The 15,003-nt window shown below is 36.9% G+C and overlaps 1 long non-coding RNA gene across 1 annotated transcript in view; it reads left to right on the plus strand.

Annotated features, from left to right (window-relative positions):
* The first annotated feature begins 1,442 nt into the window (after positions 1-1,442).
* LOC107986279 (uncharacterized) overlaps positions 1,443-15,003 on the plus strand; it is a 55,397-nt gene continuing 41,836 nt past the window's right edge. The window contains exon 1 of the long non-coding RNA XR_001741689.1: positions 1,443-1,636. This is a non-coding gene — a long non-coding RNA (uncharacterized LOC107986279). The remainder of the gene's footprint in view (positions 1,637-15,003) is intronic.

Genomic DNA, 15,003 nt, shown 5'->3' on the forward strand with positions numbered 1-15,003 from the left:
GGAGAGGGGGGAGCAAAATTGCCTCCAGTTGAGAACCACTAAGATATATGAAAACCACTAATATGTATGAGAACATGCTTCTGCAGCATGAGTGGCTTCTAGGGGAGAGCATTCAAGATTTCTCCAGCTGGGCTCTATGCAGTCCCCTAGAGCAAACTGTAAGTTGACATAAATCATAATGATGCCTTTCCTTTGGCGCACACATTTTTAGGGCTATTTCACTTACTCAAGTTCTTCTGATTCCTGACCTGTGTGATTGGTACAACAAATATTACCATCTTCCCCATTTTAAGAATCTCATGGTTTGCTGACTGAGTGAGCTAGCCAGGCGCTCTGTTGTCTCTCTAAAACTCAGAAAGTCTCAAAGAGGTTTCAGATTTGCCCAAGTTTACACAGATAATAAATCTCGGAAAATGACCAGAATACATGCCTTCTAATTTCTAGGCTGATGATTTGTCCATCACATGATGCAATCTGCATTCATTCTATAAACATTTCATAAATAGCACCAGGTAACAGATTTTCATAATTTTTGATGGTCAAAAAGTCAGAAAAGACATGAAAACATTTGTTTGTACAGATGGTGGGCTTTGAAAATCCCAACCAGGGCCAATGAAATCTATGCATTACGGGTTAGTTGTTGTTGTTGTTGTTGTTTTGAGACAGAGTCTCACTCTGTAGTCCAGGCTGGAGCACAGTGGTGAGATCCTGGTTCACTGCAACCTCTGTCTCCTGGGTTCAAGTGATTCTCCTGCCTCAGCCTCCTGAGTAGCTGGGATTACAGGCACCCACCACCATGCCCTGCTAATTGTTGTATTTTTACTAGAGACGGGGTTTCACCATGTTGGCCAGGCTGGTCTCGAACTCCTGACCTCAGGTGATCTGCCCACCTCGGCCTCCCAAAGTGTTGGGATTACAGGTGTGAGCCACCATGCCCAGCCTGTGGCTTAGTTCTAAAGCTCCTCCTAAGGACAAGTTGATAGCCATGGAGACTTCTTGGTATATAGGATCAGGTAAACCTAAAGTTCCCTCGGAAATGTACCTGATCAAGCCAATGAGATTCTTCTGATGGCTAGTCTAGGCCCTGTAGCCATAAGCAGAGCAGGGACACCTTGTCTCAGATTTATCCAAGTTACCTCTACCCTTTCTAATATGTCAAATAATATTTTCAGTGGATAACATCCAGGCCTAAGTCACCACCTATGTAACAATCTCTCTCTCTCTCTCTCTCTCTCACTCTCACCCTGAATTTATTCCAGAGAGGAGTTGAAGCCAAAGCTCATAGTGAAACATCAAGCCACATAGAGAGTTCAATAAATGCTAGAAATTCAGGGTTAAGGCATCTCCACATGTACACAGTATATTGCCACCTCCCATCGTATCTACCAGCTTGCACTGCAGTGTGTGACTCTGGTTTGTTGGAATGAGTGGTTGGGCAAAGACAAACCCCCAGGGGCAACATGTATCCACATGAAATATTTTTCCTATTACTTTAATTTAGCCTCCCTGCCTTTCTAATTTCCTTGTTTACTGTCCTAAAGAGAAAGCAATATCCCCTTGAGTTTGAGCATACAACATGTCAAGAAACTACAGACAAGAACAAACCCAGGAAATTAAGAAGATAGCCCAGTAAAATGTAAGTATGGGAAACAACCCATAGCCTTTATGTTTTTATGCTAATTTGAAAGCATCCCTAGTAAGGGGGTGTGTGTGTGTGTGTGTGACCATTATCAGGGTCTTACTAGTGAGAAGACTAATAAATGCAACACAATTTGTCCGGTTTTCAAAGCTGGTTGTCATTTATGTCTTCTGCCTCTTAGGCTCAAAAAAACCTTTCAATATGAAGTTAACATGGTTGAGGGTTGCTGAGTGAGCCAGCAGGGCTATCCCAGAGAGGGCAACGGACTTCACTCAGTGAGATCAAAACAGAGTTCTTGGCTGGAAAGAACCCCCTAAATAAGCCTTAAAGTAAACTAATAATGAAAGCTTGGATTCCGCCAATCCCACCCTCCCTCTCAGTGTGAGATCGTCACAACGTTCCAGCATGCTGTTGGAGGCTCTGGTGATGCCAGGCAGATGGAGTTACAAAAATAATCGCCCAGCCAGAATGCTCACTGCCATGTGGCAATGAATTCATGTCATGACTGCACATGCCCGAGTGATTTCACCATCCAAACAAGATGAAGTTACTCTAATGGCTCCCACTAGCTCCATATGGCCTCTCGATGTTCTATTCCCTGCAGTGGGATTTTCTTTGGTCTTATTTCTTGCTGTGAAATTTATTAAGAGGAAGAAAGGGAATAATAATGAAACACAAAACCCTTACTTACCCGAGTCTGTCTGAAGAAAAGGAAATTCTATGGAAAATATATGGAAAGAAAGACCAAATGAAACTGTAGCACCTTTTCAGTCTTTGACCACATCTTCAATAAAATAAGAACTTCTTGAACTAAAATTTTATGACTCTATTTTGTTCTGGGTATATTGTGTGTTTCCGTTAATACTTTTGAAGATGGTTGTGTCAACATGTATAGAGATTTGGGGTAATTAATAATATCAATTTCATAAAAAATATTCAAATAATTGAATAGAAAGTTAAAAGCATGGGTATTGGGTTATCTGTTTGTTACTTTCTAGCTGTGGAAGCTTGGGCAAATTACTTAACAGCTCCACTTCATTTTTCTCATCTTTAAACTAGCCATAAAAATGATAGTCTTGTTGAGTTTTATGAAAATTCTATATGTAAAGGGAAAACTAAAGCATGTTATCAAAAGTTGGTGAAAAAAAGTAGGGATGTAGAGTTATAAAGGTAACTATTAGAAACTAAAATTGTTAGTATAAACATCAAGCTTTAGGAGGGCAGGAGGAAGAGGTATAGTGTGTGAGAACTTAATCCTCATTTTTTTATTGAAAAATTAACAAAATGTCATTTGTAGGTGATAGGTTTAAAAATGGAAATTATATAAATATTAACTAAATTTAGTGCAAACTACCAGAAAAGCAAAGGACAGCAATGTTAAAGGTTGATTCTGGGGAGTGGGGCAGGGATGAGTGAGTGTTGTATGCACGACTATTACTTTTTATCATAGTCTCTTCCGTATTCTTTGATTTGCTTCCAAATGCAAATATATGCTTCTATTTAATAAAAAATAAAGCATCTTAAAATTAATAAGAATTAAAAACATAAAGGTTTACATTAAAATAATACTGTGAAAAAATTAACAAATTGTTTCTTTCTTTTTTTACAAGTCTAATATTTTATTAATTGTACAATATAAGAAAACTTTTCAATCATTTTTGATGTGTTATAATTAACCATAGCACATAATTTAAAATATTAATCGAATATGAGGGAAAATACTTCCATCAGATATACATCCACTTATTGACTACCATTTGATGTCTAGGGAGACATATTTCTTCAGATCTATTTTGAAGCATATTTAATATACATTGATTCAGGGAAGCACAAATATAACTATTTCAGTAAACGTAATACACATAGTTATGCAACATTATCTTAAAAAATTGTCTTTTTCTCTAGGCAAGAGAAACTTTTCCAATTATCCTTTAAATTTATAGTCTTAAAACAAGACAAAGTGTTTATTATCTAATGTTGTAATAGTACAGGTATATTATAGGTACATGAGTAGGAGGATGTGATCTGGAACCAGGCTGCATAGCTTCAAAACTTAGCCCCCTATGTGTTTCTGAACAAGCTATTTAGACTCTCTTAGAAACAGTTTTCTTTTCTGTAAAATGAAAATAATATTGACTACCTAATAGAGTTTTCATGAGAATTAAATATATTTAATACCTGAAAGCTCCTAAAACATTGCCTCTCCCTATGCCATTGGCAAGTATCAATAAATGTTAGCTATTATTATTACTACCCACTATTTTCAGCAAAATTTATTTTTTTATTTTTTTAAATTATACTTTAAGTTCTAGGGTACATGTGCACAACGTACATGTTTGTTACATATGTATACATGTGCCTTGTTGGTTTGCTGCACCCATTAACTCGTCATTTACATTAGATATTTCTCCTAATGCTGTCCCTCCCCTATCTCCTCACCCTACAACAGGCCCCAATGTGTTATGTTCCCCGCCCTGTGTCCCAGTGTTCTGATTTTTCTTTTCTTTTTTTTTTTTAAGTTTTTTTTTTTCTTTTATTATTATACTTTAAGTTTTAGGGTACATGTGCACAATGTGCAGGTTAGTTACATATGTATACATGTGCCATGCTGGTGTGCTGCACCCACTAACTTGTCATCTAGCATTAGGTATATCTCCCAATGCTATCCCTCCCCCCTCCCCCCACCCCACAACAGTCCCCAGAGTGTGATGTTCCCCTTCCTGTGTCCATGTGATCTCATTGTTCCGTTCCCACCTATGAGTGAGAATATGCGGTGTTTGGTTTTTTGTTCTTGCAATAGTTTACTGAGAATGATGATTTCTAATTTCATCCATGTCCCTACAAAGGACAAGAACTCATCATTTTTTATGGCTGCATAGTATTCCATGGTGGATATGTGCCACATTTTCTTAATCCAGTCTATCATTGTTGGACATTTGGGTTGGTTCCAAGTCTTTGCTATTGTGAATAGTGCCGCAATAAACATACATGTGCATGTGTCTTTATAGCAGCATGGTTTATAGTCCTTTGGGTATATACCCAGTAATGGGATGGCTGGGTCAAATGGTATTTCAAGTTCTAGATCCCTGAGGAATCGCCACACTGACTTCCACAATGGTTGAACTAGTTTACAGTAACACCAACAGTGTAAAAGTGTTCCTATTTCTCCACATCCTCTCCAGCACCTGTTGTTTCCTGACTTTTTAATGATTGCCATTCTAACTGGTGTGAGATGGTATCTCATTGTGGTTTTGATTTGCATTTCTCTGATGGCCAGTGATGATGAGCATTTTCTCATGTGTTTTTTGGCTGCATAAATGTCTTCTTTTGAGAAGTGTCTGTTCATGTCCTTTGCCCACTTGTTGATGGGGTTGTTTGTTTTTTTCTTGTAAATTTGCAATTGCCACCTATGAGTGAGAACATGCGGTGTTTAGTTTTCTGTCATTGCAATAGTTCGCTCAGAATAACGGTTTCCAGCTTCATCCATGTCGCTAAAAAGGACATGAATTAATCTTTTTTATGGCTGCATAGTATTCCATGGTGTATATGTGCCACATTTTCTTAATCCAGTCTATCACTGATGGACATTTGGGTTGGTTCCAAGTATTTGCTATGGTGAATAGTGCCACAATAAACATATGTGTGCATGTGTCTTTATAGTAGCATGATTTATAATCCTTTGGGTATATACCCAGTAATGGGATCGCTGGGTCAAATGGTATTTCTAGCTCTAGATCCTTGAGGAACCGCCACACTGTCTTCCACAATGGTTGAACTAGTTTACACTCCCACCAACAGTGTAAAACCATTCTTATTTCTCCACATCCTTTCCAGCACCTGTTGTTTCCTGACTTTTTAATGATTGCCATTCTAACTGTTGTGAGATGGTATCTCATTGTGGTTTTCATTTACATTTCTCTGATGACCAGTAGTCCTAAGCTGAGCCAGAGTACATGGGGACTCTAAACGCTCACCCTTCCAACATTCACCCTGTGTGCAGTTTCTGTGGGTACCTGGGGTGAGAAGCCAGCTTAGTATGTGTGCCCCAGGCCTATACCCTGGGAACAGAGAAGACAAAAAAATCTAGAAGATATTTCTCTGGAGTAATTTCTGGGCCATTTTGGGATCCACATATAATAGCTGAATGGGAAATGAGGGAAGGGGCATGCTGCCATTGCTTTGAGGAATTCCGTAAGGCCCCAGCTCAGGAAGCGCCAGAGCCTGGAGGAGGATTGTAATGGGGTGGGGGGCAGGATTTACTGTTTGGTGAGCAGTGGAAGTTACACTCTAAAGTGGGAAAGTGATGCTCCCATGGAGGGTAGAACCACAGTGGCACGTTCCGGAGGGCTCACAGGCCACAGTTGGGTACATGGGACACAGCCCTGCATTACCTGAAATATTTGGGACAACTTTAAGGGTGGTGTTGAAGTTCTGAAGGTTTGTAGATAGGGCTCTGAAATAACAAAATTTAAGAAACCGTTTTAACATGACCCCATTAGTGTCCAGAGGCCTGATGAAAGGTGTATTTCATAAGTACTCCTGACTGAGATAATTATGGAAGCTGAAGCTTGTTCTTCATCCTTCCAACTACAGATGGATTTATATCATCTAATGATGGTTTAAGAGTGCACCTGCCTAGAGACGTTGCTGGACAATAACTTCCCAAATTCACTAATAGTTTCTGTTACTATAATTATGTGGCAACTTCTCCTTTTAAAATGTCTCACAGCCTGTCTTTAAAATGTTGTTGGCTGGGCATGGTGGCTCATGCCTGTAATCTTAGCACTTTGGGAAGCTGAGGCAGGTGGATCATGAGGTCAAGAGATCAAGATCATCCTGGCCAGCATGGTGAAACCCCATATCTACTAAAAATACAAAAATTAGCTGGGCATGGTGGCGTGTGCCTGTAGTCCCAGTTACTCAGGAGGCTGAGGCAGGAAAATCACTTGAACCCAGCCATGAGGCAGAGGTTGTAGTGAGCCGAGATCATGCCACTGCACTCCAGCCTGGCAACAGAGCAAGACTCTGTCTCAAAAAAAAAAAATAAAAATAAAATAAAACAAAATAAAATATTATTGTTCCTGTGTGTGTTAAGTATAAAATGTTTGACAATTATCCAGTCAATAATTGTAGTAAAACTATATATATATATATAACTAATAATTATAGTAAGGCTATACATATCAAGAATCCACAATGCATGCCTACATTTTAAACGTCTTAAAATATGACCTAAACTTTGAATTGCCCTATATATTTATCAAAGTACTCGGGGAATTCTAACAAAATATTTGTTAAGGCAGAAAAGCTATAGTATGTCATTTCAGGAGATGAGAAATCTGATCCCATTGATAGAAAATATTATAAATTGCATTTTAAATTTCTTAATACCTATTAAAAATAAGGAAGTTATGCTTATTTTATTATTATCATTTGGATATATGACAAATTCCCTCAGAGATATGCAGATCAAGTTTGAAGTATATATATTTCAGAAAAAATAAGATTATGTGGCCTTAAGTAAGTTATTTAACCTGTCTTAGCCCCAGTTACCTAAACTAGGCATTCATTTATTCATTTATTTGTTCATTCAACAGATATTGATTGGTTCCTACTGTGTGCTGAGGACTATTTTGAGTATCCTCAGTGAGTACTGAGTACTGAGGATATACTGAGTACTGATGATACAGTCTTTCAAGAAAGACAAGCTCCTTACTCTCATGGAGTTGACATTTCCAATAGGAAAGAGAGACAATTAAAATATTGAAAATTCAATAAATCAAAAATAATGCCTGCTATTGAATAATACTAATAGCTCTTTCTGGCATCCAGATCACAGCTAAAATGTCACCCCCTTAGAAGAACTCCTTGTCCATTCAATCCTTCCCTTTGTATTTAATCTAACTACATTTGACTCAATACAAATAGAAGGATTGAATGACAAGAAAAAGCAAGCCATGAAAATGTTAGGGGAAGAGCATTTGAAATGGAGAGAATTAAATCTACAAAGCTACTTCAATGGAGGAGAGCTTGGTGTGTTCAAGAATGAAAGAAAAATTCTGCCTGGCTGGAGCCTGATAAGGAGAGAAGAGTGTGGTGCTGGAGTTGGCTGGCTGGATAGGTAGATAAAGGAGAATTTGAAAGACTATGATAAAAGAAATTAATTAATTTAAAAAATAAAACCATTAGAGGCTTTATTCTGAATGTCATGGAAAGTTTACATTGTGTAACAAATTAAAGATTGCTGCAAAAGATTTGATGTTTGTCACAAAGCCATTTCTTAATCTTATCATCCTTTGCCATTAGAAGAAGCTGAGAATTTTCAGAACCTCCAAGTCCAGGCTCCTTTTGTTTAAAAGTCCTTCTTTAATCTTATCTCTTTCCTCTTGCTTTTTAATGTAAGCAGGAAGAAGAAATCGGGAGTCACTTTCAACACTCTGCTTGCAAATCTGTCTTAACTAGGAAACCTAGCCCATTAGGCACATTTTCTGCTTTCTACATTATCAGCCAGGCATGATGGCTCACACCTATAGTCGTAGCACTTTGGGAGGCCAAGGCGGGAAGGTCACTTGAGCTTAGGAGTTCGAGGTTACGGTGAGCTATGATTCCACCACTGTACTCCAGCCTGGGTGACAGATACATTAGCACAGTTTAGTGTTGCTAAACTTTCTGTCCCTATATGCAAAGATGATCCTCTGTCCTCTAACTTCCCATACCATTTTCTTGTTGAGTCTTCACCAGTACCTCTTTGAAAGCCATTGGGCTTCTGCTAACAGTCAAAACACCTTACGCTTTCACTAACACACTTTCTTAAAAGTTCTTTCTACTTCCACCCACTGCTGGATTCCAAAGCTACTCCCACAGTTTAAGTTTTTGTTATGGTAGCACCCAGTGTTCAGGTACTAACATCTATATTGCCATGTAACAAATTGTCCCAAAACTTAGAGGCATAAAGCAACAATTATTTTTAATTTCTGAGAGTCAGGATCCTGGGAATAGTTTAGCTGGGTGGTGTTACCTTGAGTAACTCATGAAGTTTTAATCGAGGTGTTAGCTAGTAGGGTGGTAGTCATCTGAAAGCTTGACTGAAACTAAAGTATCCAATTCCAAGATGTTTCATGTAAATAGCTGGCAAGTCTGTGTTGCTGGTTCACCATGATTGGTTGTCATGCAGCCCTCTCCATAGGGCTGCTTGAGTGTCATGACCTGACAGCTAGCTTCTTTCAGAGTGTGTGACATAGGAAGACCAAGACTAAAGTCACAATGTCTTTAATGTTTGAGCACTGAAATTTTCACATAATGAGTTCTATGATATCCTAGTGTTTGTACAGTTCCAACCCATTGAGGGCAGGATGGGAATACACAAGGGCATGAATACAAGGAGGCAGATATTGGGATCATCTTTTTTTTAAGATTCAGGGGGTTCGTATGGAGGTGTGTTACATGAATATATTGCATAATGGTGAGGTTTGGGTTTCTAGTGTACCCATCACTCAAATAGTAAACATTGTTCCCAATAGATAATTTTCCAACCATCACCCCACTTCCATTCTGTTCCCTTTTGAAGTCCCCTGTGCCTATTATTTCCATCTTTATGCCCATGTGTACCCATTGTTTAACTTCTGCCTAGTAAGTGAGAACATGCAGTATTTGATTTTCTGTTTCCGAGTTATTTCACTTAAGATAATGGGCTCCAACTCCATCCATGTTGCTGCAAATTACATGATTTCATTCTTTTTATGGCTGCATAGCATTCCATGGTTTATATATCCCACATTTTCTTTATCCAATAAACGGTTGATAGACACCTTAGGTTGATTTCATCACTTTACTATTATGAATATTGCTGTGGTAAACATACAAGTGCAGGTATCCTCTTTAAAAAATGGTTTCTTTTCCTTTGGCATATACCCAGTAGTGGGATTTCTGGGTTGAATGATAGTTCTATTTTTAATCCTTTGAGAAATCTTCACACCGTTTTCCATAGACATTGTACTAATTTACACTCCCATCAACAGTGTATATGCATTTTCTTTTCCTGCATCCATGCGAACATCTGTTATTTTTTTTTACTCTTCAATAATCCATTCTGCTTGATGTAAGATGATATCTCACTGTGGTTTTAATTTGTATTTCTCTAATGATTAGTGATGTTGAGCATTGTTTTCATATGTTTGTTGGTAACTTACAGATTTTCTTTTGAGAAATGTTTATGTCCTTAGCCTACCTTTTAATGAGGCTATTTGTTTCTTTCTTGTTGAATTTTTGAGTTCCTTGTAGATTCTGGATATTAGTCTCTTGTCAGAGGCATAATTTATAAATATTTTCTCCCATTCTGCAGGTTGTCTGTTCACTCTGTTGACTATTTATTTTGCTGTGCAGAAGCTTTTTAGTTTAAGTCCCATTTGTCTATTTTTGTTTTTGTTGCATTTGCTTTGGGATATCAGTCATAAATGCTTTGCCTGAACCAATGTCCAGAAGAGTTTTTTTCTAGGTTTTTTTTCTAGGACTTCTATAGTTTCAGGTCTTATTTAAATCTCTAATCCTTCTTGAGTTAATTTTTGTATATGTTGAGAAATATGAGTTCAGTTTCTGCATATGGGTAGTCAATTTTCCCAGCACCGTGTATTGAAAAACATGGGTGCATGTTTTTGTTGACTTTGTTGAAGACCAGCTGGTTCTAGGAATGTGGCTTTTTTATGAGGTTCTCTATTCTATTCCATTGATCTATGTGTTTGTCTTTGTACCAGTACCATGCTGTTTTAGTTACTATAGCCTTGTATTATAATTTGAAGTTAGAGAATGTGATGCCTCCAGCTTCATTCTTTTTGCTTAGGATTGCTTTGGCTATTCAGGTTCTTTTTTTGGTTCCATATGAACTTTGGGATTGTTTTTCTAACTCTGTGAAGAATGACATTGGCAATTGGATAGGAATTATATTGAATCTGTAGATTTCTTTGTGCAGTATGATCATTTTAACAGTATCAATTCTTCCAATCCATGAGCATGGAATGTTTTTCCATTCGTTTGTGTCATCCATAATTTCCTTCATCAGTATTTTGTAGTTCTCCTTGGAGAGATCTTTTATCTCCTTAGTTAAATGCATTCCTAGGGGTGTGTGTGTGTGTGTGTGTGTGTGTGTGTGTGTGTGTTTGTACTGTAAATGTGATTGAGGTTTTTGGTTTTTGGGGTTTTTTTTAAGCACAGTTTCACTCTGTGACCCAGGCTAGAGTGCAGTGGTGCAATAATGGCTCACTGTAGCCTCAACCTCCCAGGGACAAGTGATCTTCCTACCTCAGCCCCCTGAGTAGCTGGGCCTACAGGCACTCACCACCACACCAAACTAATTTTCTTCTTGTAGAGATGGAAGTCTCTACAAGAGACTTGCCCAGGCAAGTCTCAAACTCCTGGGTTCAAGCAATCCTCCACCTTAGCCTCCCAAAATGTTGAGATTACAGACAAGAGTCACCGTGCCCAGCAGAATTGAGTTTTTGATTTGGTTCTCAGCTTGAAAGTTATTAGTATATAGAAATGCTATTGATTTTTATACATTGATTTCTTATCCTGAAACTTGACTGAGGTTGTCTATGAAGTCTAGGAGTCTTTTGAAAGAATCTTTAGGGTTTTCTAGGTATTAAATTACATCATCAGTAAACAGAGATGATTTGACTTCTTCCTTTCCCATATGGAAGCATTTTATTTCTTTCTCTTGCCTGATTGTTCTGGCTAGCACTTTCATTACTATATTGAATAGAAGTGGTGAGAGTGGACATCCTTGTATCATTCCAACTCATAGGAGAAATGCTTTCAACTTTTCCTCATTCAGTATGATGTTGGCTATAAGATTGTCATATATGGCTCTTATCATTTTGAGGTATGTTCCTTGAATGCCTAGTTTGGTGAGGGTTTTTATCATAAAAGGATGTTCGATTTTACAGAATGCTTTTTCTGCATGTATTGAGATGATCATATGGTTTTTGTCTTTATTCTGTTTATATGGTGAAACACATTTATTGATTTGCATATGTTGAACCATCCTTGCACCCTTAGAATTAACTGCAGTTTATTGTGATGTATTATCTTTTTGATGCACTGTTGGATTTGGTTTGCTAGCATTTTGATGTGAATTTTTGCATCTATGTTCATCGGGGTGTTTGCCTGTATTTTTTTTTTTTTTGGTCATGTCCTTTTTTTGCTTGTGTACTGGTTTATTGTCTAGTCTTCTGCCTTCTACTCTTGCCCCTCTACAATCAATTATCCCCACAGCAGAAGGTGAACTTTTAAAGACTCATGTCACTCTCTTGCTTATAAACCTAATGGCTTTTTGTAGTAGCCAGCCTTCAAGATGGCTCCAAGGAAGGCCTATGTTTAGCCTCCTTAAGGAAAAGAAATGGGCTGGGTGCAGTGGCTCACAAGTATAATCACAGCACTTTGCAAGGCTGAGACAGGAGTATGGCTTGAGCTCAGGAGTTCAAGACCAGCCTGGGCAACAAAGTAAGACCCCTGTCTCTACCAAAAAAAAAAAAAAAAAAGCCAACCAGGAAAGAATTTTATGTTCTGCCAAAACAAGCTTTAGAAATGAAGGAGAAGTAAAGTCTTTGCAAGGCCGGAAAATATTAAGAGAATTCATCATCATGAGACCAGCCCTACAAGAAATGCTCAAAGTTATTCTAAACATGGAAACAAAAGGACAATACTCACCAACACAAAAGCACACATGAGTAGAAAGCTCACAGATCCTAAAAAACAATTATACAATTGAGACTCCAAGGCAACCAGCTAACAACACTATGACAGAAACAAAATCTCACATATTAATATTAACCTTGACTCTTACATTGATTTGGGTAATATTTTTATCTTAACAATATTTAGTGATCTAATCCATGAACATTAGATTAAGATGTTTTCTAATTACTCAGGTCTTCTTTAGTTGATTTCCACAATATTTTGTAGTTTTCATGTTAAAAGTCTCATATTTGTTTTATTAAGCTTATTTCTAATTATTTTTTAAATTTTTGATGGCATTATAAATGGAATTGTTTTCTTAATTTTATTTTTGGACTTTTCATTGTTAGTGCATAGGAATAAAATTTATCTTTGTATGTCAGTCTTATATCCTGCAACCTTGCTGAGCTCATAAGTTCTTTTGTGGGTTTATTAGAATTTTCTACATATAAGATAATGCTGTCTGAGAATAGCTAGCACTTTCAACATTATGTTGAATTAGTGGTGAGAGCAGACATCCTTGCCTTGTTCCTGATCTTAGCAGAATATCATTCTTTTTTTTACCATTGAGTATGATGTTAGCTGTCAATTTTTTGTAAATGCCTTATCAGTTTGAGGAAGTCCCCTTCTATTTCTAGTTCGATACATGTGTTTATTATGAAAGGGTGCTGGATTTCATCAGATACTTTTTCTTCATGTTTTGAGATGATCATGTGATTATTGTCCTTTATCTTATTAATATGGTATATTACATTAATTTATTTTTCTGATGTTAAAAAAACAAACTTGTGGGTTTTTTGTTTGTTAAATCCTACGTGGTCAAGTTGTGTAATCCTTGTTTAAATATGTTCTTGAATTCACTTGACTAGAGTTTTCTTGAGGATTGTTGCATGTATGTTTATAGGGAGATTGATCCATAGTTTTTTGTGATTTCTCTGTGTGGCTTTGGTCACAGGATAATATTGGCCTTATAGAATATGTTAGAGAGTATTTCCTTCTCTTCTACTCTTTGGAAGAACTTATGAAGTGTTGGAATTAATCTTTTTAAAATGGCTAGAATTTGATGGGACATCTCATCTGGGCCTGAGGTTTCTTTTTATGTAAGGTTTCAAAATTACTAAGTCAATCTTTTTTTCTTGTTATAAGTCTATGTATTAATACATGTTCTAATTGTTATTCAGTCAGTTTAGGTAGTTTGTATTTTATAGAAATTTCTCCAGTTTGTATAGATAATCTATAGATAATCAGTTATTCACAATATTTCTTTGTAATCCTCTTTATTTCTGTAAGGTCACTATTAACGTTCTCTCTTTCATTCCTGACTTTAGTAATTTGAGTCTTCACCCTTTTGTTCTTGCCAATCTAGCTAAAGTTTTTCAATTTTGTAGACCTTTTCAAAAAGCTAACTTTTGTTTTGTTAGTTTTTTTCTATTGTTTTTGTGTTCTCATTGGGAGAAGCTCAGAGACTCCAAACTTTGCCCTTCAAGAGAGATCCAGATATACAACATCACAATGTATATAGCACTAGAGAATTAGCAATCAATCTATTATGGTTACTCCTCACAGCTTGTATATGAGGTGAAATCTAAAGAATTTGTTTTGATCTGCTCAGAGGTCAAAAAAGATTTTTTAGAAGTCAATGGGAGAAATGAATTTCCATTCCTAACTTCATTCCATGCATCCTGAATGCTCCCAGTTTGTAACAGTTAAATATTTCCAGTGGGAATCCTTGTTCACTTCAAAGTAATAATTTCTCCAGACAATGGCTATAAAGCTCCTCCTAATAAAAATGTAGTCCCATCCACCACTTAAGATAAATTTAACATGAGACAAAGTTTTAATTTAAGATTACCAGGTGCATATTTTAACAGTAGGAGCCAATACACAAAATCTGTGGTGCTGAGAAAATAACTGAAACTGTGATTATCCTTGAAAAAATATTAGCATGGTCACACTTTTTTGCATAACATGTGTTTTTAATTATCTTACCCATTCACAGACTGTCTCTCTGCAGAGTTCATAAGAATTTTTATGACAAAATGCTATCATACTTGCACCTACAGCTTTTGGCTTGCTCTCGTACTCTGATTCCTGAATTGTTAATTAAAACTCTGAAATTTTGTCAGGAGACTGGAACATTTATTCAGCATTTACTGTATGCATATGGGATATTGGATTAGGCACAATAAGAAAGAAACTTTAAATAAATCAAACACTTCAACAATAAATGTAGTGTTTTGGGGAGATGGTGTACTGGAGGATGGATTCAAGATGTGCTTCTCTCCAACTACAAAAAAGGAAAAAGTTTGTAATCCATGGAAGCATCCTAGAACTGTTAAAAGTATATTAAATCTATGAATGCTGTGATACATAAGAACTTGTTTTATTTGTTTCTTCAACAACATGAAAAATACAAATTGTTCTTGGAAATAGAATAAAAACGCAAGGAAACTAGTTGTACTTTGCTATGACAACTCACAATGAAACTTCCTTTGAAACACATTGTGAAAATAACTAGCATTACAACTTCTGACAAGGCTGTGTCCCCTAGTCCTTATTGGCTCCTTCCCTAATCTCCAAATATTTTCATCTCCTGTGCCCAGGATTGTCCCTAGTGTCAACACACATCCCTGGAA

This window comes from Homo sapiens, chromosome 4, assembly GCF_000001405.40.
Source record: "Homo sapiens chromosome 4, GRCh38.p14 Primary Assembly".
Classification (NCBI taxonomy): domain Eukaryota; kingdom Metazoa; phylum Chordata; class Mammalia; order Primates; family Hominidae; genus Homo; species Homo sapiens.